The sequence below is a fragment of the Homo sapiens genome, chromosome 3 (genome assembly GCF_000001405.40).
Source record: "Homo sapiens chromosome 3, GRCh38.p14 Primary Assembly".
Taxonomy (NCBI): Eukaryota; Metazoa; Chordata; class Mammalia; order Primates; family Hominidae; genus Homo; species Homo sapiens.
This window is the reverse complement of record NC_000003.12, coordinates 197360302-197386489: the sequence shown is the minus strand read 5'-3', so window position 1 is coordinate 197386489 and position 26188 is coordinate 197360302. Positions and strand designations below refer to the sequence as shown.

Genomic DNA, 26188 nt, shown 5'->3' with positions numbered 1-26188 from the left:
GATAGTAAACTATACGAAATGCAGTGCAGATGGTAAACTATCCCAAATACACTGCAGATAGTAAACTATCCCAAATGTGGTGCAGATAGTAAACTATCCCAAATGTGCTACAAATAGTAAACTATCCAAAATGTGCTACAGATAGTAAACTATCCCAAATATGCTGCAGATAGTAAAATATTCCAAATGTGCTGCAGAGAGTAAACTATCCCAAATGTGTTGCAGATAGTAAACTATCCCAAGTGCACTGCAGATAGTAAACTACCAAAATACACTATGGATAGTAAACTATCACAAATGCGCTGTAGATAGTAAACAATCCCAAGTGCACTACAGATAGTAAACTATCAAAATACACTATGGATAGTAAACTATCCAAAATGTGCTACACATAGTAAACTATCCCAAATGTGCTGCAGATAGTAAACTATTCCAAATGTGCTGCAGATTGTAAACTATCCCAAATGTGCTACAGATAGTAAACTATCCCAAATGTGCTGCAGACAGTAAACTATCCCAAATGTGCTACAGATAGTAAACTATCACAAATGCGCTGTAGATAGTAAACTATCGCAAATACACTATGGATTCTAAACTATCCCAAATGCGCTGCAGATAGTAAACTATCACAAATACACTACAGATGGTAAACTATCGCAACTGCCCTGCAGATAGTAAACTATCCCAAATGCAAGGCAGACAGTAACCTATCCCAAATGCGAGGCATATAGTAAACTATCCCAAATACAAGGCAGATGGTAAACTATCCCAAATGCACTGCAGATAGAAAACTATCGCAAATGTGCTATGGAGAGTAAACTATCCCACATGTGCTGCACATAGTAAACTATCACAAATACACTACAGATAGTAAACTATCTGAACTGTGCTGCAGATAGTAAACTATCACAAATACACTACAGATAGTAAAGTATCTCAACTGTGCTGCAGATAGTAAACTATCCCAAATGCGCTGCAGATGGTAAACTGTCCCAAATGTACAGCAGATGGTAAACTATCCCAAATGTGCTATGGATGGTAAACTATCCCAAATGCACTGCAGATGGTAAACTGTCCCAAATGTACTGCTGATGGTAAACTATCCCAAATGCGCTGCAGATGGTAAACTATCCCAAATGTGCTATGGATGGTAAACTATCCCAACTGCAGTGCAGAGAGTAAACTATCCCAAATGCGCTGCAGATAGTAAACTATCCCAAATGCAGTGCAGATACTAAACTATCCCAAATGCAAGGCAGATACGAAACTATCCCAAATGCAAGGCAGATATTAAACTATCCCAAATGCAAGGCAGATAGTAAACTATCCCAAATGCACTGCACATAGTAAACTATCCCAAATATGCTACAGATAGTAAACTATCCAAAATGGGCTACAGATAGTAAACTATCCCCCAACGTGGTGCAGATATTAAATTATCCCAAATGCAGTATGGAGAGTAACCTATCCCAAATGTGCTGCAGAAAGTAAACTATTGCAACTACACTATGAAGAGTAAACTATCCCAAATACACTGCAGATAGTAAACTATCCGAAATGCAAGGCAGGCAGTAAACAATCCCAAATGCGCTGCAGACGGTAAACTATTCCAAATGCAAGGCAGATAGTAAACTAACCCAAACACACTGCAAATAGTAAACTATTGCAAATACACTATGGATAGTAAAGTATCCCAAATGTGCTGCAGATAGTAAACTATCACAAATACACTATGGTTAGTATACTCTCCCAAATGTGCTGCAGATAGTATACTATCCCAAATGCACTACAGACAGTAAACTATCCCAAATATGCTACAGATAGTAAACTATCCCAAATGTGATGCAGATAGTAAACTATCCCAAATGCAAGGCAGATAGTAAACTATCCCTAATGTGTTACAGATAGTAAACTATACAAAATGTGCTACAGATAGTAAACTATCCCAAATGTGCTGAAGATAGTAAACTATTCCAAATGTGCCACAGATAGTAAACTATCCCAAATGCGCTGCTGATGGTAAACTATCCCAAATGCGCTGCAGATAGTAAACTATCCCAAATGCAATGCAGATAGTAAACTATCCCAAATGCGCTGCAGATCGTAAACTCTCGCAAATACACTACGGATGGTAAACTATCCCAAATGAGCTGCAGATAGTAAACTATCCCAAATGCGCTGCAGATAGTAAACTATCCCAAATGCACTGCAGATAGTAAACTATCCCAGATGTGCTACAGATAGTAAACTATTGCAAATACACTACGGATGGTAAACTATCACAAATGCACTACAGATGGTAAACTATCCCAAATGCGCTGCAGATCGTAAACTCTCGCAAATACACTACGGATGGTAAACTATCCCAAATGCGCTGCAGATAGTAAACTATCCCAAATGCGCTGCAGATGGTAAACTATCCCAAATGAGCTGCAGATAGTAGATGGTAAACTATCACAAATACACTATGGATCGTGAACTATTCCAAATGCTTTGCAGATGTCTCCAAAAATAAATGAATAAATAAATAAATAAATAAATAAATAAATAAATAAATAAATAAATGGTACTGGAGACCCTACAAATTGGTTGCATCTTTCCGGATAATAATCTGGCAAGGTAATAGCAAGAGCCGAGACCTCACCTTGATTGAATCATTCTACCTACGGATACAGAAGCACACCCTGAATAAATAAACCCAAAGGGATAAAGGAGCTATGGATGCAAAAATAATCATATTGGTGTTATTAATACTAATGAATTAGAACTACTGCAAATATTCAACCTGATGCAAATTGGAAAGCAAATTAGGATGCACTCACATAATAAATACAGTATTATAATTAAAACTCACAGGCCAGGCACAGTGGCTCACACCTGTAATCCTGGCACTTTGGGAGGTCAAGATGGGAGGATCACCTGAGATCAGGGGTTCAAGACTAGCCTGGCCAACATGGTGAAACCCCATCTCTACTAAAAATACAACAATTAGCCAGGCATGGTGGCGGGCACCTGTAAATCCAGCTACTTGGGAGGCTGAGGCAGGAGAATTGCTTGAACCGGGGAGGCAGAGGTTGCGGTGAACCAAGATCGCACCATTGTACTCCAGCCTGGGCAACAGAGCAAGACTGCATCTCAGAAACAAACAAACAGACAAAAAACCTCATAAACATGAGGACTGTATTCACACAACAATTTCTGAGTATGAAATGATATTAAAGAAAAAAGGTAGCTGAAAAGTATTCACACTGGTTACACAACATGAAAACTTGAGAAGAGTCAAAAGGGAACAGAAGGCCGGGTGCGGTGGCTCACGCCTGTAATCCCAGCACTTTGGGAGGCCGAGGCGGGTGGATCACGAGTTCAGGAGTTCGAGACCAGCCTGGTCAACATAATGAAACCCTGTCTCTACTAAAAATACAAAAATTAGCTGGGCATGGTGGCAGGGACCTGTAATCCTAGCTGCTTGAGAAGTTGAGACAGGAGAATCGCTTGAACCCAGGAGGCAGAGTTTGCAGTGGGCCAAGATCACGCCACTGCACTCCAGCCTGGGCTACAGAGTGAGACTCCGTCTCAAAAAAAAAGTAAAAAAAAAAAGGAACAGAAACAGAGACATTTACTCTTTAAGGGGTTTTCCTCTGGAAAAGTTGTGTCCATTCATAAGAAATGTGTTTACTAAATAAAATTAAAAGGCAAGGAGGCGAAGGTGTTCTCCTCCTTACAGTTGTTCATATGCTGGCGTGGGTGAAGGACCTCGTTCCCTTTCCTTTCTGAGTTTCTGTCCTATGGATATTCTCACATCAAGGAGAAGATGGAAGGAGGCTTTCTGAGGTCTCTCACCTTGGTGGCACTGCCCTCTGCTCTGCTGCCCAACAGGCTGGTCTGCAGAAAACCCTTGGCTTCCTTTTACTTCTCCTAATCCATTTTTCAAAAATCAACCAAAGCACTATTGGAAAACTGGAGAATGCAGGCAGCAATTGGTAGTTGAGATGGTACAAACTGGGGGTCAGAGGGTCATGGTTCTAGGCATCACCACCTTGCTGGCAGCCTTGGGCAGGTCACTTCCAGACTTTGAGCACGTCTGGCCCTCAGTTTCTCCATCTGTAATGTGGCAATATTGGGACAGTTGATTTCAAAAGTTCTTGAAATTCTGACTTTGTATGGCTCTATCTTTCTTGATCCAGGACTAGGGAAAGAACCCTGGAATGGAATTCTTATCACTCTGAGGCTAAGAATCAGTTCCACCATCCAAAGTCCATGAGGCCAGGGCAGTGCTGCAGCTAGTTTGCAGGTGAAAGGGTCCCTCAAGGGCTGAATAGAGGAAGAAAAAGAAACATTCTGGCCAGGCGCAGTGGCTCACGCCTGTAATCCCAGCACTTTGGGAGGCTGAGGCAGGCAGATCACCTGAGGTCAGGAGTTTGAAACCAGCCTGACCAACATGGAGAAACCCCATCTCTACTAAAAATACAAAATTAGCCGGGCGTGGTGGCGCATGCCTGTAATCCCAGCTACTCGGGAGGCTGAGGCAGGAGAATCGCTTGAACCCGGATCGCGCCATTGCACTCCAGCCTGGGCAACAGTAGTGAAACTCTGTCTCAAAAAAAAAAAAAAAAAAAAAAGGAAAACGAAACATTCTGCATATTTTGTGCCCTCATTATCAAATAAATAAGTAACAATTCAGTGTTTCTTGAAAGGGTTAAGAGCCGGAACTTTCCAGCAGAAAGCAGATCTCCTTCAGAAGAAGACTCCTGAGACTCTTGCTTGACTTCAAGTTTCCCGAGTGAGACACTGTGAAGAGCTCTGAAACAGTCACAGAAGCTACAATGATCAGGCTCCTGTGTGAAAACAGTTCATCTCCATCACAACCGTGCAGGGAACCATGCAGGCTGAACAGGAGTATTGGCACAGAAGCTGCAGCCAACTGTAGAAAGAGCATTTCAAGCAAGTCAGAAATTCTCCCAGGTGTGTTGTAATCAGGAAGAAAAATAGAGGCAAGAGAAAAATAGACCCTGTCAGAAACAGTGTCTGGCAACACTGCCAGAAAGGGCTCTTCCTGCCATTTCAGCCCTTAAATGTAGTGAGCACATCTCTCTTTGTTCAGTAAAAAGTGGATGATGAGGGAAGGACAAAGAGCTTGGATGAGAGGAAGGATTTTGTCGGCTTTTGGCAGAGATAGTGAATGGTCTCTTGGCTGCTTCCGTGGCCAGGCTATTATAAAAAAGTAGGTAAAGATTTTCTCATGAAGAATGATTGAATAGGAATATGGTGGGGCAGGAGTATCCTGTCTACAGCAAAGATCTTATGGGGACAATGGCCAAAGCATCTTTTATGTGGGCCTGTATGAGTAACACATCATTCCAAAACATAGCGACTTACAACAACAGTCATTTATTTAGCTTTCAGTTCTGTGGGCTGGCTGGGCAGGTCTCCTGGTCTGGGCCAGCTTGGCTGAGTGCTGCTGGGCTCTCATGCACCTGCAGTCAGCTGGCAGGTCGGCTGGCAGTTGAATGATTGAGGATGGCCCCGTTCACATGTCTGGCCGCTAGCAGGCTGTTAGCAAGAGTTATGGGCTGGCCAGTCACATGTCTCTCATCAACCAGCACAGGCTAGCACAGGTTTGTTCATGCAGCAGCAGATTCCCAAGAGCAGCAAGGGAGGAAGCGTCAAAGCCCCTTGAGGCCTAGGCTGGGAACCTGTACACTGTCATTTCTAATGCACTCTGTTGATCAAGGAAGGTACAGGCCAGCTGGGTGATCAACTATCCCGGTTTTCCCAGAACGGAGGGGTTTCCCAAGATGCAAAACTTTCAATACAAAAACTGATAAAGCTCTGGACAAACCACGATGGTTGGTCACTCTAGTGGCTCACACTCCCCAAGGAGTGGGGAACTTATAAACCTCCCAAGAAGATATATAGATGGCCACTAGCACATGAAAATCTCAACATCACTAATTGTTAGGGAAATGCAAACCAAAACCACAAGATACCACTTCACACTCACCAGGATAGCTATTATAAACAACAGGCTGGGCGCGATGGCTCACGCCTGTAATCCCAGCACTTTGGGAGGCCGAGGCGGGCAGATCACAAGGTCAGGAGTTCGAGACCCGTCTGACCAACATGGTGAAATCCCGTCTCTACTAAAAATACAAAAATTAGCCGGGCATGGTGGCGCGCACCTGTAATCCCAGCTACTCAGGAGGCTGAGGCAGAAGAATTGCTTGAACCCAGGAGGTGGAGGTTGCAGTGAGCCGAGATCACACCACTGCACTCCAGCCTGGGTGACAGAGCGAGACTCTGTCTCAGAAAAAAATAAAACTCAAATAAAAAATAAACAACAACAACAAACAGAAAATAAGTGTTGGCAGGGATATGGAAAACTTGGAATGCTTATTGGTGGGAAATGTCACATGGTGCAGCTGCTGTGGAAAATGGTGAATCCTCAAAAGATTCAACATAGGATCACCATATGATCCAGCAATTCGAGTTCTGGATGTGTACCCCAGGGACTGAAGGCAGGGACTCAGGGATTCGACATACACATTCACGGCAGCATTATTCACTGTCGCCAAAAGGTGGATGCCATCAACATGTCCATCGACAGATAAATAGATAAACAGAAGGTGTTGTATACAAACAGCAGAATATTATTCAGCCTTAAAAAGGAAAGAAATTCTACTACATGTTAAAACATAGGTGGACCTTGAAGGTATTACACTAAGTGAAATAGGCCAGACACCAAAGGACAAATATTGTATTATTCCATTTCTTTAGGACTCTGAATTGTTTTCGTTCTATTTTTCCAGCCAGTTCCAAAGTCTTACCACACATCCTCACCACCTCATTCACTCATCGACATGGTCTTTCTCTTTTTTTTTTTTTTTTTGAGGTGGAGTTCTGCTCTGTCATCCAGGCTGGAGGGCAGTGGCGCGATCTCGGCTCACAGCAACCTCTGCCTCCCGGGTTCAAGCAGTTCTCCTGCCTTGCAGGAGGGGGAAGTGGAGAGGCTGTTTAATGTGTGCAGGCTTTCAGTTTCACAAGATGAGAAAGTTCTGGAGATGGATGGTGGTGACGATGGTACAACAGTGTGAACATACTAAATACCACGAAACGGTACGTGCTGAAATGGTTAAGATGGTAAATGTTATGGTACGTATATCTTATCACAATTTAAAAAAAAAGGAGTGGGGAAATAGGCTCCCCTATTGATGAGACGAGGTGAAACTCTTGTGGCTATTTTTGCCATCTGCCACGGGCAAAACAGGGATTTAATGAAATAAAGCCAAGCTGTTGCTGTGGCACAGAGAACCTGAGTAAGTGCGCTCGGAGCCGGCAGGCGGCATCCAGATACTGATCATTTTGATACTCTTTCCTTTGGGAGCCAGTCACTATTATTACCGGCTCATAAGCCATTATTGGAGAGCTTACAATGATTCAGTCAGGTGGGAAAAAGAGGAATTAAAGAAGGACTGTGGACGGGGCGCGGAGGCTCACGCCTGTAATCCCAGCACTTTGGGAGGCCGAGGAGGGTGGATCACGAGGTCAGGAGTTCCAGACCAGCCTGGCCAAGATGGTGAAACCTCGTCTCTACTAAAAATACAAAAATTAGCCGGGCATGGTAGCGGGTGCCTGTAATCCCAGCTACTCGGGAGGCTGAGGCAGGAGAATTGCTTGAACCCGGGAGGCAGAGGTTGCTGTGAGCCGAGATTGCGTCACTGCACTCCAGCCTGGGTGACAGAGCAGAACTCCATCTCAAAAAAAAAAAAAAAAAAAAAAAAAAAGAGAAGGACCATGTCAATGACTGAATGAGGTGGTGAGGATGTGTGGTAAGACTTTGGAACTGGCTGGAAAAATAGAACGAAAACAACTCAAGAGTCCTGAAGAAATTACTGAAATGAACAGAGGAACCCCAGCACCTTTCCCTGCCTTCCCTACGCTCCGGCACGGGGCTGGGCTCAGAGCCGGCGCCAATAAATAACAGGCCCGAGAGGCAGCGACAGAGCCTGGCTCACAGCGACCTGGCTCCGTGCTGCGTCCGCCTCCAGGCCCTCTCTGTTTGCTGTTCATGCGATTCTGTGTTTATGGAAAACTCTGAGTGTGCTTGAATGTCTAATTCAGCGACAGGAGGAGCAGACGGCAGGGAGGAGTGAGGAGTCATCGGAAAGTGTGGATAGCAAGGCTGGGGTAAAGGCAGAGAGCTGCTGAAGGAAACCATGAAGCAGATGACCATGGAAAAGCACCAGCCTCCCAGAATGCTGCAACTGCAAGGGGCTCAGAGAACACGTCATCGCCTCCTCCCACTAGGACGATGAGGAGAATGAGCCAGGAAGCTTCGGGGACTTGCTTATGGCCACCCAGGAAGCAGGAAGTGCGGAGCTGCTACTCGGGACATGGTTTTCTCACTTCTGAGTTGATGCTCTGTCCTCTATATCCAATGATTTCCTTTTTTTTTTTTTTTTTAAGACGGAGTCTCGCTCTGTCACCCAGGCTGGAGTGCAGTGGCGCAATCTCAGCTCACTGCAACTTCCACCTCCTGGGTTGAAGTGATTCTCCTGCCTCAGCCTCCTGAGTAGCTGGGATTACAGGCATGTGCCACCACGCTTAGCCAATTTTTGTGTTTTTAGTACAGACAGGGTTTCCCCATGTTGGCCAGGCTGGATTTGAACTCCTGACCTCAAGTGATCCGTCTGCCTTGGCCTCCCAAAGTGCTGGGATTACAGGCGTAAGCCACCATGCCTGGCCTATATCCAATGACTTCTGAGTCTCTATTGCATCTTCTCCACACTAGTCACTGGAAGAGGGGGTGGTAAAGTCCCACCCAAACATGTCTCCTTTTCCCCCGATTTGATGCTGCAGGTGAAACCATGCCCTCTGGTACACAGGAGCAAGTCTTCCAGCTCTCCTCGCCCTAGAAAGTCTAGCACAGGGGGTGCACCTGTTCTCTTATCAGCTGCTTAATTAAGGGGTTCCATTGTATTTCCCAGTCAATTTTCCCACTCAGTTCCCCAGGAGAAGTTATTTTTAAGTGTTACTGGAATTACAGTACTAACCAAGTCTTTCTTCTCGGATCAGTGATTAAGACTTAACCTGCTCTGGGTGTGTCACTTAACACTTCAAGGTCGTAGGTGGGCATAGCTCATCTCAGGGAAGCTGAGGTGCCTGGGACTGAGTAGGACTGGATGCCATAATGCTCCCCGTTTTACTGGAGAGAAAAACTTCTTGGAAGAGCCCCAGTTGGGAAGCATTTGGCAAGTTGATTTATTGATCCAATTGCGTTTTCCAGCTGGATAGGCTTCAATAACTGGGAAAAGCTAGTAATGAGCCCACAGCATTTGGCACCATTCAGGACTCATTGTGGAGCTCTAGGAATCCTGGGATGGGGATCTAGACACGTTGATTAAGGGCCTGCTATGAGTAAGTTACTGGGAGACCAAGTTGACGAGATGATGGCTCAGGAGACACGAAGTGCTTAGTGTCTAATACCCAACGAGCAAGGGTTGGAGCTGAAAGCAAACAGAATCTGGAAATGCCAGCCTGACCCCCAGTACTCTGCCCCTGACATGCCTGCCTGTCAGGGCAGTGCCAGAAAAGCCTCTCAGGAGGTTGGGTCAGGGCAAGGCAGGAGGGACAAGCCAAGAGGCTGGGAGCTAAGGCAGTGGGCTGGAGGGTAGAGAGGCACGGAGAGGGGGAAGCCCATGGAGGCCAAGCGTAAGTGGGGTGGGATGCTATATTAGTTAGGATACAGGCTCAGCTACATGGCACAGAGACCCAGAGTAACTGTGGTTTTAAAAAGATAGACGTGGGCCAGGTGCGGTGGCTCATGTCTGTAATCCCAGTACTTTGGGAGGCCAAGGCGGGTGGATCACAAGTTCAGGAGTTCGAGACTAGCCTGACCAATATGGTGAAACTCCATCTCTACTTAAAATACAAAAATTAGCCGGGCGTGGTGGCAGGCACCTGTAGTCCCAGCTACTTGGGAGGCTGAGGCAGGAGAATCACTTGAACCCGGGAGGCAGAGGTTGCAGTGAGCTGAGATCGTGCCATTGCACTCCAGCCTGGGCAACAGAGCAAGACTCCATCTCAAAAAAAAAAAAAAAAAGACATGTATTTATTAAGTGAAGTCTGATAAAATGACCCTGCTCAGTGAAGTCATTGGAGGCTCAAGCTTCTTTTCTCTTCTTGTTCTGGCATGTCTAGATTGTCGCCCTCATGTGCATTGTTCAGCATAACTCACCACCACATCCGCATTCCACCCGTGGACAGGCAGAAGGGAACCAGGTTGGACAGGCCCCTTCCCCATGCGGGCACCTCACATCCTGTTGGCCAGAACTTGGTCACATGGCCACACCTAGCTGGGAAGCCTGGGAATCCTATTTATTTTGGGTGACCATGTGCTCTGCTAAAATGTCTACTGCTATGGAAAAAGGGAAGAATGGATGTTGGGGGACACCAAGCAGTAGGCCACAGACATAGACTAGCTGGAAGCGGGACAAAATAGGGTCCACATGAGGCAAGTCCCAATACCAAGTGTAACACTCCTCTGTGAACCCTGTCAGGATGGTGGAGCTTGCAAATGATGGCTTTGCTCAGACAGAAGAGAGAAACACAGAGAAGAGAGAGATTACACTCATCGAAAGAACTCAGGAAGGCATCATGTAGGCATGCATTTGGGGCTTTTGTTTTTGTTTGAGACAGGGTCTTGCTCTGTTGTCCTGGTTGGAGTGCAGTGGTCCAATCTTGGCTCACTGCAGCCTTGGCCTCCCAGGCTCCTATTATCCTGGATTCCATTCCTGCCACAATCTTGACACAACTGACCTGTCTTCTTGGTGTGCCCTTCCTCTTTAGCTGTTGTCAGAATCCCGCCTCTACTTCAGGCCCTGGTTCAAATGCATTTGCAGGTGTTTAAATGCGGGGAGAGATGAGGATATACTTCCCCTGCTCTCTCATGGGCCAACACAACAGTGCTCTGATGCTGAGATAAGCAAAGGAAAAGAACACAGGGTAAGATGAAGCTTGGGGCTCTAGACTGAGTTTATGCCTTCCCAGAAAGAGCTGAATCTCACAGGTTTTACATAAGCAGGTGATGTTTCCCGCTGTGCTCCAAACAGGCTACAATCCTTGCCTTCTCCTCTCATTTATTTGTGGGTGAGATGGCTGTGCCCTCTAAGTTCCCACAGACACATCCTCCCTGTCTCCCTGAGCCCAGATGCTTAACACGGGGCTTTAACCCGATGCTCTCATTCCCCGTAGGCATCTCTGTGGGGATGGGGAGAGAGGATGGGAGCCAGGCTGGCATCGTTACGCATATGTAATAGAGCCGGAAGAGTTGTGAAACCCAGGAGGTTCTGCTAAGCTGTTCCACAGTCAATAGTTGCAATAAAAATAAACTGATTCTGCTATTCGACAACAATGAGCGATACCCCAGGGTTGCCAGCGCTGGAAGTACTCATATGTCTCTGGGCACGCTGCTGTGGGTGCAGTCCAGCCCACGCAGCATGTACACAGACTTACCTCCCGCATGTTTTCAGCTGATGAATCTGTGGCACTGCAGCCAGGTATAGAGAAATATAAAGTCCCACATCTGAGTCAACAAAATAAAACGAAACAATAATCACCAACATAAGGGAAGCAGAGTTTGAGTGCAGCTGGTGTAACTAAAAGATTGAAAGGTTTTTGTGGACTTCACATTTAATATGAGTCAATGGTATAGAGTTAGTATGAACTTGCTGATGTAGTTCTTAACTGTATTCAAACCAGTAGTGTTTTACTGGCCAGAACGCTACTGATGCTACTGGCTTGAATACAGGTAAGGACTACATTAGCAAGTTCAAACGTTACTATGATCTGAAACAGAATCCTGCTTCGGATCATAGTAACATATAAAGAACATGCAGATAGGCTGGGTGTGGTGGCTCACGCCTGTAATCCCAGCACTTTGGGAGGCTGAGGCAAGTGGATCACTTGAGGTCAAGAGTTCAAGACCAGCCTGGCCAACATAGTGAAACACCATCTGTACTAAAGATAGAAAAATACAGGCATCATGGTGGGCGCCTGTAATCCCAGCTTCTCGGGAGAATGAGGCAGGAGAATTGCTTGAACCCGGGAGGCAGAGGCTGCAGTGAGACAAGATCATGCCACTGCATTCCAGCCTGGGCGAATGAGTGAGACTCTGTCTGAAAAAAAAAAAGTGCATGCATGCAGATAAAAAGACTCAAGGATGCTACAAGAACTCAAAATTATGGAGGTAAATTCAGAGAACTGAAACCCTGCAGCCTGGAGGAGACCCAGAAGGCCATAACGATCACCTTTACATACCCGAAGGGTTGTCATGGGGATAAGAGACCAATGCATTCACGTGGGCCCAAGAAGGAAGTTACAGCCTGGCCAATTTTGTCTCAAAATGGAATTGTCTTAAAAAGTAATGCTGTTTCTCATGAGACAGTGAATTCTCCCTTACTAGAATTTGAAAAGGAGGCTGGGTGAATCTGTGGGTGAGACGCAGTCACAGAAATTCACATGTTGGAGAATGACAGGGCTAAGTGACCTCTTGAGTTGCTTTCAACTTTGAGGCTTTATGAGTCCATGCATCTTTTTCTAATGAAACTTTCTGAAATAATTGTAGATGAATCCGCAGTAGTACTAAATAACCCAGAGGGATCCTTTGTATTCTTTACCCAGTTTCCCTGCATGGTAAAACTTAGAGACTAATACAGACTCATAGCCAGGATACTGACCACTTCCTCATGGTCTCATTCTTCTTCTGCCTCAATAGTCTCTGCCCTTGAGGAGCTACCAGTCTAAAGGAGGAAAAACACAGGCACAATAAAAAATCGTGCTAGTTGAGCGTCAGCCAGCTGAGTGGGACCAACCAAATGCTACTGATGACCAGAAGACAGAGAGATCATGTCTGCCCGGAAATACGAGGAGAGGCTTTCCAGGGGAAGTAGGTGGACTCTGAAGGACAAATAGGAACTCTACCGACAGTGATAAGCGTACTTAGTTAAGGACCTGTGGTTGTCCGGCTCATTATTCATTAAGAGCTAGAAAAAAGATACGTTTCCTTGTGAATGGCTTTCTCTTGTTACAGATTTTTTTTTTTTTTTTGAGTCAGGGTTTCACTCTGTCACCCAGGCTGGAGTGCAATGGTGCAATCACAGCTCCCTACAGCCTCGACCCCAACCCGACCCCACATTCAGGTGATGCTGCCACCTCGGCCTCCTGAGTAGCTGGGGCTACAGGCACGTGCCACCACACTTGGCTAATTTTAAAAAAGCTTTTTTTTTTTACAGATGGGATTTCGTCATGTTGCCCAGGCTGGTCTTAAACTCCTGGGCTAAAGCGATTCTCCTGCCTCAGCCTCCTCAAGTGCTGGGATTACAGGTGTGAGCCACTGCGCCCAGCCTCTTATTACAGATCTAATACATAACCCGAAAGTGTCAAAGAAGCGAAGCTCAGAGAACCATTGGCAGCCTCTGGGCCATGCTTCATCCAGTTCCTACGCATCCCTAGGGCCTGTGTATAGTAGGTGTTTAGCATCTGCTGAGTGAATGCATGAGCAGAGAAATGAATGAACAGGTTACTGCCCCTGTTGTCCCAGTTCTGCTCTCCCACCCCAAAAGAAGAAGAGCGTACAATAACACGGAAAGCAATGGCATTGCTTTTGATTGCCTAAAACCCTGGTGGGTTTCTAGTGTTTCTGCAGAGCATGTGACGCTGATTAAGGCTGAGCTCACAGGTGCCCCAAACATCCCCGACCCAGGCCAGTTAATTTTGCTGTCCTCTGTGGCTACAGGTTCTACACTCTATCCAAGGTGTAACTGTTCAAAGAAATCTCAGAATCCACAGTTGCTGACCTTTTCCTGAAATGTGTTGCTAATCGAGCCCGCAGAGCAAGTTTCTGTGCCTAGTTACCTTTGCCATTGCCTAACCTCCCTCACCTCTGGGTTTGCGGTGTGAGAAAGGAATGTGTTTCCTAGAAGCAAAGAATGGCAGAGCCTAGGGGTTTGGGGAGGGAGGACTTCAAAATATGGAAACCATCTGGTTCCACTCCCTTCTTTTACAGACTAGAAAATGAAGGCCAGGAAGGGGCATGTCCTGCCCAGTGTCATCTCGGGAGCCACTGGGAACAGAGTCCAGAGCTCCAGCCTCCTGGCCTGTCTTTTGATGCTCACTCTGAGGCATTCAGCTGTTTCCTCCTTCAAGAAAAGCCAGCCCCTCCCGAACCTCTTACTGACAGCTGTGTGCCAAGAGTTTCTAATTCTTATGACAACACAGCATAGGAATTGGGCGTGTTTGGTTTTCTTATGTACAGAAGCATAAAAAAGATCAAAGCACTTACAGTTTGATGATGTTCCTAAATGCAAGTTCAAATTGCTGAGTTAAACAGCCAGCAATTCTTTTAGAGCCTTTCCGGAGCAATTACTCAAGATGGAATTAAACTGTATTTGCCTTTGATTCCTTCTCATCCCTCCCTCTGCCTGAAAGGGGGAGAAGCAGGACCCAACAAAGAAAATCTTGAGAGACAGTTGTTAATTGCAGATTTTTACCTGCCTGATGTTCTTTGGCTTTGCACATTAATTAAATCAAGACCAGGTGTCTTGCAGATGGGTTAGCTGCTGGCTATGGTATGAGATTAATAGATCCCAGCAAATGGGTAAGGGAAAAAGCTCTTGAGTTTTATGGGTCATTGATGCTGCTTCTCTCAGCAGAAATTACCGCAGAGAGAGAAAGAACTCCTTGAGCTTAAGTGGCCTAGTTCATTAGAGAGCTTCCACAGCTGCTCACATGTTAATCACCTCCAGAGCCCAGAGAACAGGCAGATCCCCTCTACAGTAGACCTGAATAAGCCATCAGATCTGAAGGAAGTCAGACCTCAAATGATTGATTATTCTAAAGGAAATTGCTTCAGGATTTGAAGGTTTGTGACCTGGGCCAGAGGCTGCCGACAGGACCCTAAGCAGCAGCTGGGAGTCAGTGGCGTGACCAGATGCTAGTCCCCTGTCTACCAACCCTTCCTCTGCGATAACTTTCCTACCACTGCCAAAGCTGAGAAAGGGGTGATAGAAACAGAACCAGGCTTTTCTTGAGACAGAGTTTTGCTCTTGTTGCCCAGGCTGGAGTGCAATGGCGTGATCTCACCTCACTGCAACCTCCACCTCCTAGGTTCAAGCGATTCTCCTACATCAGCCTCCTGAGTAGCTGGGATTACAGGCATGCACCACCACGCCCAGCTAATTTTTTGTATTTTTAGTAGAGAAGGGGTTTCTCCATGTTGGTCAGGCTGGTCTCAAACTCCCGACCTCAGGTGATCCACCCACCTCAGCCTCCCAAAGTGCTGGGATTACAGGCATGAGCCACGTGCCCGGCCAAAACCAGGCTTTAGAAGGTGCTCTGGCAGTTTAGAACACAGTTCTGCTCCTACAGGCCAGGGCCCTCGCTCTTATCCCAATAAGAAGGACTTTGTATTCGAACACGGAGTGATGCCCCCATCCCAGCTCTCTCGTGGCTTAGGGTGTCCAATTCCATTGGCAAGGCCAGGTCAGGTTTCTGTCTGGGGGATCCAGGGTCAGTACTGAGGCCAGGATGAAGCAAGGGTAGGGGGACGCTGGGGCAGAGGGAAACAAAGGTCACTTCTTATTTACAAAGGACACATTTGTTCTAGCGTGTCAAGCCCTGGGCTTATGCACAGTACTGGACCATTCACTGGAGCCCTGAGCTCACACTAACAAACTGAGCGGTTCCAAATGCTTCTCAAAGGTCTGCCTTCCATGGTGACAATTCTGATTCACCATGGCTGGGATGGATTTCTGGGTGAGACAGATGATGAGCAACCAGGAGCCATGCAAGGCCCCCCGAGTCTCACCCACATGCTATTTGGAGGCAGGCACACACACTTTTTCTTTGAGACTGCAACAGACCGTGAACACACATTGGTTTGTGTAACTTGAATTCCTTTCTAAAGAACCCTGGACCTAGTCCACCCTCCCCTACAGTCAGTAAACCAAAATGTCATGGCTTTGGAGAGCTGGTAGAAATGACGAAGCTGCATCTGGCAGCTAATAGTCATGTCATGTCGTTCTCATCCCAGAAACCAGCAAAGTGGTTAAGGTAGTAATTTAATCTGCTCATTTTTTGGTTTTCTGCCAACTCTTTTCCCAAACCGATTCCCCAGCTGGTCCCTTGGCCCCATGAAACTTTCATCTGTGCTCTTCAGATGGCTTCCAAAGTAGAGGGACTCATAGCTGGGGTTACTTCTAAAAACTGGGCCCAGGGGCCAGGCACGGTGGCTCCTTTAACACTAGTGCTTTGGGAGGCCAAGGCGGGCAGATGGCTTGAGCCCAGGAGTTTGAGACCAGCCTGGGCAACATGGTGAAACCCCATCTCTACAAAAAATAAAAAATTAGCAGGGCACAGTGGTGCCAGCTACTCAGAGGCTGAGGTGGGTGGGAGGATCACTTGAGCCTAGGAGGTCAAGGTTGCAGGGAGCTGTGATCATGCCACTGCACTTCAGCTTGTGCGACAGAGTGAGATCCTGTCAGAAAGAAAGAAAAAGGAAGGGAAGGATGGATGGGGAAAGGGGAGGGGAAGGGAAGCGGGGAGAGAAGGGGGAGGGGGGTGGGAAGGGAAGGGAAGGGAAGGGAAGGGAAGGGAAGGGAAGGGAAGGGAAGGGAAGGGAAGGGAAGGGAAGGGAAGGGAAAGGAAAAGAAGAAAAAGAAAAATTGGGCCCAGGGAAGGGACCTACCTGGAGAGGAGAGTGGAGCAGGGCCAGGGCTGGACGAGGCAGTGAGGCATCTAACCTCAATAGGTAAGGAGGTGATCTCAAGGTCCCATGACCACAGCACTTACATGACCTTGACAGTAAGTGCATCTGTCAATTTTGCATCCTAGGTGCCTCACTTGCCTCACCCTCATGTTTGCCCTGGTGTGGAGGATATTTCTTTTTTTTTTTTTTTTTTTTTTTTGAGATGGAGTCTCGCTCTGTCACCCAGGCTGGAGTGCAGTGGCACGATCTCGGCTCACTGCAAGCTCCACCTCCTGGGTTCACGCCATTCTCCCACCTCAGTCTCCCCAGTAGCTGGGGCTACAGGCGCCCATCACCATGCCCAGCTAATTTTGCTTTTGTGTTTTTAGTAGAGACAGGGTTTCACCGTGTTAGCCAGGATGGTCTCAATTTCCTGACTAGTGATCCACCTGCCTCGGCCTCCCAAAGTGCTGGGATTACAGGCGTGAGCCACTACACCCAGCCGGTTTGGAGGATATTTCTATTCCTGAAGGAAGTAGTTCACTTCACTGGTGTGTAAGCCCTGGGTAGCTTTCTAAAAAGATACCAGTGCCAGGCCAATTCCATCCAAACCTTTAGGCATGGAGCCTGGGCATCTGGGACTCATCCACAGGGGAGTCAACTGTGCAGCTGGGTTTACCAGCTTCTAGCCCAAGGGCTTGCTCTGGGCCACAGGTAATAGATGGATGTTCTGCTGCCGTCTGGCCAGGGCTCAGTTGTCTCTGACTTGTCTCCTTCAGGATTTTCTCTGTGCCCCACAGGTCCCGAGGTCTGGCTGAACTTCCATACAGACTTACTCAGGCCGTCTGCTCTTGGCTACAATACCAGGCACAAACCTCTCCCCCAACTCCCAAGATACCAGCCGGGCTGTCAGCTAAGTTCCATATCAGCCTCTAGAGTATGCAGAGACTTCCCATGGTATATGCTGCATTTTCTTTGATGTGGCCACAGATACCCCCAAATACCTTGGCAAATAGACCAAATATCCTTTGCAAATAATACCCCAAATACCCGAGAACAGAGTGCTCCCCTCAACTTATTGAACACATCTCCTCCCAGACTGGAACCCAGGAAGACCCGTGCTCATCTGAATGCCCACCTCCCCCTTTCCCACCATCCTTGGAAATAAAAGAGCTGCCTCCCCCTCCCCCTTCCTGCCTTGCAGGGATCTCCCATACACAAAACTCTGTGATCTAATCCTCCAGGCTTCTAGAAAATCCCCTCTCCTTAGCACTTGGCTTTTGAGCCTATTGTCATGTTTGGGATTCACGAAAATTTAATTCGACAGTGAAACCTCAGCAATGGCAGATTTGAGCTCCTTCCCTGAAGCATTGAAACCCCCTGAATGGGAAGCCCCAGAGCAACAAGATGTATAGGAGAGAGAAACCCTCCTGAAGAAGAGAAACCCTCCTGAAACTCTTTCGAACATCATCTCCATGCCACACATTTTGTGCCAAAGCTCAGCATTGTACACAGAGCCTTGGAACACACGTGCTCCATTCTGGGTCTCTACTCATCACTCTCTCAGCATTTGGAGAGCAAGGTAAAAGGGAGGCATTTTTATTCCCATCTCTTTTTTGTACAATGAGACAGAGGAGAGAACTAAGTGACGACCAGGGGCCGTCAGAGGGCAGGCGGTGGAGTGAAGGAGACAGAAAGGGAGAGAATGAGGGTTCAGAAGTGGACCTGGAGTTTCTGTTTATGTATTCAACTTATTAGGCTCTTGAGCAGGTCCCATACATTTTATTGGGAAAATTGAAGTCTTTGGCCCAGTTATGAAAAGCTGAAAAATGCACAACCCGTCTCTTTCTAGACCGGGGTGCACAGTCTGGACTGGCCTCATGCATATTGATTTACCTGACTCTCCCCCCCACCCGCCCCCACCCACCCCCACCCAGGCTTCATCTCTCTGTCAGTCTCTCTGCAAACACTCCCTTTGCAGGTTGGTGAGGCTCACTTCTCCCTCTCCAGGGAACTCATCCTGCGTCTCACTCCTCTCTCTTGCCCTGCTCCGCTCTCCTACCCTCCTGTCTGTGGCCCAGCAGGGCTTCGTGCCAGCCCACAGGCCCTACTTCTGTAGCTGTGCAAACACTGCTAAGCCCTCCAGGCTCCCAGGAGCTGGGCCTGCCCTCCACAGGAGATTAAGAGCCACAGTGAGTCAGTAGCCCAGCTGGGCCTCTGTCAGCTGGGGCATCCCTCATCTCCTCTCCCCTCTGGACCCCTTCTCCCCATTCTGCCAGCCCTTAAGACAGCATCTGCCCCCGTACTGGGCCAGCAGAGTCCCAGCGTGGCCCCTCCCTGCCCCGACCCCAGCTCTGGAGCTTCCCGCCAAATGCCTTGGCCTTGATGGTTGCCCGTGTCTACAAGGCAGAGAAGCCCGCAGCTATGTGGTCACAGTGGCATTCTGGAAGACTGAGGGAATGGGGTGTGGATGCCTCCTCTCGGTGGCTGTGACCCTCTGGGTTCAAGGAGGGAGAACTAAACAGCTGCCAAGACTCATCGCAGGCCCTGGGTGCCTACACACTTTGAATCACAGCTACTGTACCGTGCTGGGTCACTGCCAGGAATCTGAGGAGACAATAAGCTCTTATTTTAAAAAGATTTGCCAGCATACCCGGGCTTTTACAAATGCTTGATAATTATTGCCAAAAATAGGTATTGGCTTAGGGTCTCCAGTGCTGTCCTGGCAGCTCCAGTGATGAGGGGCCTGCACCATGTATGCAGTCCAAACCTCGCCACAGAGGGGGCCTGGAGGTCAGCAAGCCGGGCACCCCTAGACCCCACAGGGTGGGCATTGTGGACCACGCCTTTGCTGCTCGAGGAGAGGAAGGGGAACCGCAGGAGGAGCTCTTAGTGCCAACTTTGAAGAACAGAGATTGTGTCCTTGTGCCAACTACTCTGAGTCACTTAATGCCATTCCCATTCACGAGAAGAGAAAAATCTGGTACACAGGACTAACCAGTTTGAATTTCCAACTTCTTGGCAATCCAAGAATTTCAGGCTTCTATAAATAGCAAATCCTCCAGTGCTCCCTCCTCTGATGGGGGCTGCCCTCTTCCAACCTTGTATTCATTCAGTGAGCATTTAGCGAGCTACAGACCAGAGAGCCACCCTGCACCTTACAGATTATCTCATGCAACCCCTCACTTAACTGACGAGCAGGGATGGGACTTGTCCAGGTCACAGAACTAAATACCAGGTGCCCAGCCCTGGGGTGAACCCTATAGAGAGGAAGGTGGAAGAGACACAACCTCTTCTCTCAGAGCCCCAGATTACCGGGGGAAGCAGTCACTTGCTCAGAGAGCAACGATACAAGGGAAAATGTAATTCTATCCATAAAAAGTTGAAATGGCCAGGCGCGGTGGCTCACACCTGTAATCCCAGGCCTTTGGGAGGCCAAGGCGGGTGGATCACTTGAGGTCAGGAGTTTGAGACCAGCTTGGCCAACATGGAGAAACCCCATCTCTCTAAAAATCCAAAAATTAGCCTGGCGTGGTGGCGGGTGCCTGTAATCCCAGCTACTCAGGAGGTTGAGGCAGGAGGATCACTTGAAATCACAGTGAGCCGAGATCATGCCACTGCACTCCAGCCTGGGCGACAGAGCAGGACTCTGTCTCAAAAAAAAAAAAAAGTTGAAATGAAGAATCGTGGGAGAGCAAAGACACCAGGTCATTCCTGCACAAGGAATCTGGAAGGATATCATGGGGAACAGTATTAGAGTTGACCCTCCAGAGAAACACTCAGGAGTGGATTTAGACACTCAGGGAGAGAAGAAAGGCGAAAGGGATATGCAGATAAAAGAAACAGCTTAAGACAGCAGAGATGGGATGTCTAAGGAATGCAGGCCAGTTTGGCTGTTATATAGGATGTTGAAACTAAATGATGGGGGTAGGAAGGGGAGTCGGTTACGGGGCTGGATGATGGAAGGTATGGAATGACAGGGTGAGGAATTTGAGCTTCACCATCATCATTATCATTTAAAAGCACCAATGGCAAGTTGTCAGGCATGTTACTGAGCACGATTACTCATGTATTGCAGAGTCTGCACTTTATAGGAACTTGAAATTTAGGACAGAATAAAATTATGGACAGATATTGAAGCTCTATATTATACATAAATGAAAGCTATTTAACACGTAAGTATTTCAGTAGAAGTAAAGGGGCAAGTGCATTTAATGGACTAGTGAGGGAAGAAGGCATCTGGGAATTTGTTCCTGGAAGGGATCCCTCTATCCTCAGCCTCCCCTGTGTTCGGCAGCTCTGGGAAAGGCCCAGAAAAGCAGAGATAGCAGTCTTAATATTAGACACTGACTTAGTGTGGCTTTGTGCCTTCTAGATGGCTGATTTCTGAGAAGGAACAATTCCTGGAGCCTCCCGTTCATTCTTATTCATTGCTCCAGCTCTCCTTTAAGTCCAGTCCTGAGATTGTAGCACATGGAGGAACACAGATTGGAGGGGACAGTGGGATGGTGGACAGGGCCCACTGAGTACCGTTGTGCAGGTTATCTACTGCACGAGAAGTGGCAAGTAAGAATTGAAATCCAGACCTCCTCCTCTCATTGAGTCAAAATGAGCTGTGTCCATATGGCGGTGAGAAGGGTGCTTTTTCTAGTCCATGCAAAGGCATTTTGTGGGCTTGTGGTCCTGACAGAGATGCAACTAAACAGCTTCTCTAGACAGTGCTTTCCAGCCTTACCCTCCCACTACTTCCCACTACGGCACATGGGAAACACTTCCAGCCTGATGCCCTGGGCCAGGTGCCAGCATGGAGATGACTCTCAGCCACCCAGCCCTCTACCCTCATCCCTAGCTTGTTTGTGCTCCATTAGGCTGGAGATCTGAGAAAGGGCAGAGGGAAATGTTTGCTAAACTAGATCAAAGACTAAGAAGAATTCACACACATACTCTAAGCACCTATTGAGTCTGGCCCTGCCATCAAACTGTCGAACAGACCTCTGACGATCCTGTGAGACTGTGTCAAACACGGCACTCAAAACTCTAACGTGTCTGGGCAAAGTGGCTCCTGCCTGTAATCCCAACACATTGAAAGGCTGAGGCAGGAGGATCGCTTGAGCCCCAGAGTTCTAGATCAACCTGGGCAAGACAGTGGGACCCCGTCTCTACAAAAGATAAAAAAGAAAAATTAACCTGGCATGGGAGCCTGTGCCTATAGTACCAGCTACCTGGCAGGCTGAGGTGGGAGGAGTACTTGAGCCTGGGAGGTCAAGGCTGCAGTGAGCCTTGATCTCGTGACTACACTCCAGGCTAGATGACAGAGCAAGACCGTGTCTGAAACAAACAAACAAAAACCCACTTCAATGCAATGTAAGAGTGGGAATCCCCTCAGAGCCCATGATCAGCAGCCCCCTGACTCCCCCACCACACGCCATCCCTGACGGGAGCTACCCAGCTTCTGTCTGAGCACTTTAAAGGAATGACAGAGCTGACGGGCCCCGAGAGCCTCTTCATTGTGAGGGAGCTGTGGTTGTTCTAGCAATCTCCTCTTTTTGTTTAGCTGCAATTAGACCCCTGTAACTTCCACTATTGATTCGGCTTCTGCCCCCTGTTGCCCTACAGATTTGTAGGTAAGAAAAGAAGAAACAGAAAAAATAGCCCCTCCACAATAAGCTATTCCTTTCTTGCCTCACTCATTTGTCTGCACCAGGAAGTCAAACCCCATAAGAAACGCCCTTAATACTCCCAGCTAAGCATTTCCTATTGCCCATGTTATTACATTCTTTGCCATTCTTTGCCTTCTTCCTGTTCCCAGCTTCTGACTCCTGGGCTGGTTTTCTGACCACAGGTCGGCGAGAGTCACTTGGATTTGATTCCCCTCGAGCGTTGGCTCCTGACTTCCCTCCTCATAGCCTCCCACCACTTTGATTCTGCTCTTCCAGGCAGCTCAGGGTCAATTCTCTGCATGCGTCAGCAGCAGGGTCTTTAGGAACAGTTGCACAGGTTGCGCATTTTCCTTCTGCCTTTCAGCCCCGAGACCATACCTTTTCCCTCAGGTTCCTGCTGTGGCAGTCAGTGTTCCTGCTGAGTTCACTGGGTTCCTTTTGACGGGGCAAGATAGAGGCAGAAGAAAATGAGGCCTGCTTCTCTGGGGAGCCCTGGTCTCCCAACAACACACCTACCTTTCCCAACTGTATCATTTGCTCTGAGAGGGCAGGATACACCTCTTATTAATCTCTGGGTCCTTTATGACTGAGTCCAACCCAGGGCCCTAGGCAAGGTAAAGGCTCAGGAAGTGTTACTTGAGTGAATGCATGAATAAATGTTAGGAGAGTAGGGTTTGATTTCTAGGGGTGAGAGGAGAGCTGCTGAGCAGCAGGAAAAGACGAGAAGACCCCTAGGGAGTCTCACTCTCCCTGGCAACTGCTCAGATGACTTGCTCTCAGAAAAGACCTCCTGGTCGTGAAGTCACTCTCCTGTGTCTGGCTTCCTCGCAGATGCCCGATTTCCTTCTCTACAAGACCAATCTTTCCCAGACTGGTCCTTGGAAAAACAAAACAAAACAAAACAAAAAACAAACAAACAAACAAAAACAGGCCTTTCCAAGCTCCATTCCTTCTTTTCCACTAAATCTTTAACAAAGCAAGACACCCATAAGGCCTCTCCTGCAACAGTGACGATGAGGCCCTCTAATGCAGTAGAGTGCTGGCGGGGGAGATGGAGAGGAGAGAACAGGAATGAAAAGTAGTCTGAAGGCTAAATCAGGAGAACTTGACCTGGAGTGAGTGGTCAGTAGAGACACAAGGTGGAGAAGGGAGAGAGGAGGCAAAGGGAAGTCCTCCAAGAGAGGGTGGCGGTCCCATGGATGAAAAACAGAGGTAGGCCAGGTGTGGTTACAGGTTCACCCCTGTAATCCCAGCAGTTTGGGAGGCCAAGGTGGGTGGATCACTTGAGGTCAGGAGTCCGAGACCAGCCTGGTCAACATGGTGAAACCCCGTCTCTACCAAAAATACAAAAATTAGCCGGGCGTAGTGGCGGGCACCTGTAATCCCAGCTACTTAGGAGGCTGAGGCAAGAGAATCACTTGAACCCGGGAGGTGGAGGTTGCAGTGAGCTGAGATCGCGTCATTGCACTCCAGCCTGGGCAACAAGAGGGAAACTCCATCTCAAAAAACAACAACAAAAAATAAAAATAAAAATAAAGAAATACAGATGTTGAAAGGATGTGCTGACTGGAGCAGACAGTTTGAGTTTGATTTTGTGCATTTTTGAGGTGTCATCTAGACAAACAGGCAGGATTGTACAACTGGTTATTGGAGGTGTAAGACTCAGTCTTCGATAAGACTATTGTAATAGAAACATAGAAATCTGAGATGATGGTGAGCAAGTGAGGGTGGGAAAGTTTGCCCTAAGACTAGTTTCTGTGTCTTTCAGCTGTTTATGTCAGGACAAAGGCCCAGCTGCCCCTGTCCCAGAGCTGTGAGGAAGCAGAAAGAAAGAGAACCTAGTATGTTCTAGGAACTGTGCCAAATGGTCTACACAAGCCACATATTCAATTCTTACTAGATATCGAGACCAGCACTATCCAATAGAACTTTCTGTGATGATGAAAATGTTCTCTATATATGCTAATACTGCAACTACTAGCCCCATTTTGCTATTGAACACTTGAAATGTGGCTAGTACAACTAGGAAACTGAATATTTCATTTTATTTACATTTAATGAATTTAGGTGTAAATGTAAATAGCCATGTACAGCTAGTAGCTGTCATATTGGAAGAGCAGATCTATTTCAACCTCCTCAATTCTTAGGTGAGGAAACAAAGTGACTTTCTCAGCAAAATTATTTTCATTAAAATATGAACTAATTTGCAAAGACTCCATTTTCATGTACCTCTTTTTGTATAACTGAGGCTCTATGTGCTTAATACGAACTAACATGGTTAAAATTTAAAGCCTGTATAACAAAAAAGATCTTTTGATGCATGGAGGGTTTCCGTAAACTTTTAAATTTGTTTTTAATGTTAGGGCCAATTGGATTTTTTTTTTAGTAATTTAGATATTCATTAATATTAACACAGATAGAATAGTTAACCTTGATTGAGTACTTATTATATGTTAGGTACTTGTATTAGTCATCTAATGCTGTGTAACAAGATACCCCCAAACTTAGCAGCTTTAAAACAATAAACATGTTGCATTAGTTCATTTTCATGCTGCTGATAAAGACATACCTGAGACTGGGCAATTTACCAAAGAAAGAGGTTTAATTGGATTCACAGTTCCACGTGGCTAGGGAAGCCTCACAATCATGGTGGAAGGCAAGGAGGAGCAAGTCACATCTTATGGGGATGGTGGCAGGCAAAGAGAGAGAGCTTGTGCAGGGAAACTCCCATTTTTTTAAAACCATCAGATCTTGTGAGACTCATTCACTATCACGAACAGTGCAGGAAAGACCCACCCCCATAATTCACTCACTTCCCACTGGGTTTCCCCCACGACACACGGAAATTGTGGGGGTTACAATTCAAGATAAGATTTGGGTGGGGACACAGCCAAACTATATCATTCCACCCTGGCCCCTCCCAAATCTCATATCCTCACATTTCAAAACCAATCATGCCTTCCCAACAGTCCCCCAAAGTCTTAACTCATTTCAGCATTAACTCAAAAGTCCACAGTCCAACATCTCATCTGAGACAAGGCAAGTCCCTTCCACCTATTAGCCTGTAAAATTAAAAACAAGTTAGTTACTTCCTAGATAAAATGGGGGTATAGGCATTGGGTAAATACAGCCATTCCAAATGAGAGAAATTGGCCGAAACAAAGGGGCTACAGGTCCCATGCAAGACCAAAATCCAGCAAGGCAGTCAAATCTTAAAGCTCCAGAATGATCTCATTTGACTCTGTGTCTTGCATCTGGGTCACATTGATACAAGAGATGGGTTCCCATGGTCTTGGGCAGCTCCGCCTCTGTGGCTCTGCAGGGTACAGCCTACCTCCTGGCTGCTTTCACAGACTGTTGTTGAGTGTCTGTGGCTTTTCCAGGCACACGTTGCAAGCTGTTGGTGGATCTACCATTTTGGGATCTGGAGGATGGTGCCTCCCTTTTCACAGCTCCACTAGGTGGTGGCCCAGTAGAGACTCTGTGTGGGACCTCTAACGCCACATTTTCCTTCTGCACTACCCTAGCAGAGGTTCTCCATGAGGACCCCACCCCTGCAGCAAACTCCTACCTGGGCATCCAGGTGTTTCCATACCTCCTCTGAAATCCAGGCAGAGAGAGGTTCCTAAACCTCAATTCTTGACGTCTGTGCACTTACAGGCCCAACACCATGTGGAAGCTGCCAAGATTTGAGGCTTGCGCCCTCTGAAGCCATGGCCCAAGCTGTACTTTGGCCCCTTTTAGTCAGTCTCTAGGCTGCACACAGCACAGAGACCCTGGGCCTGGC

General features: G+C 47.2%; 3 annotated features.

Annotated features, from left to right (window-relative positions):
* Positions 7493–8005: an enhancer, noted in NCBI's record as "H3K4me1 hESC enhancer chr3:197105356-197105868 (GRCh37/hg19 assembly coordinates)". NCBI's record gives its function as "activates a minimal SCP1, AML or CMV promoter by ChIP-STARR-seq in naive H9 embryonic stem cells {active_cell/tissue: H9 hESC(naive)}" and the evidence as "EXISTENCE:reporter gene assay evidence [ECO:0000049][PMID:30033119]".
* Positions 8006–8519: an enhancer, noted in NCBI's record as "H3K4me1 hESC enhancer chr3:197104842-197105355 (GRCh37/hg19 assembly coordinates)". NCBI's record gives its function as "activates a minimal SCP1, AML or CMV promoter by ChIP-STARR-seq in naive H9 embryonic stem cells {active_cell/tissue: H9 hESC(naive)}" and the evidence as "EXISTENCE:reporter gene assay evidence [ECO:0000049][PMID:30033119]".
* Positions 22024–22592: an enhancer, noted in NCBI's record as "OCT4-NANOG hESC enhancer chr3:197090769-197091337 (GRCh37/hg19 assembly coordinates)". NCBI's record gives its function as "activates a minimal SCP1, AML or CMV promoter by ChIP-STARR-seq in primed H9 embryonic stem cells {active_cell/tissue: H9 hESC(primed)}" and the evidence as "EXISTENCE:reporter gene assay evidence [ECO:0000049][PMID:30033119]".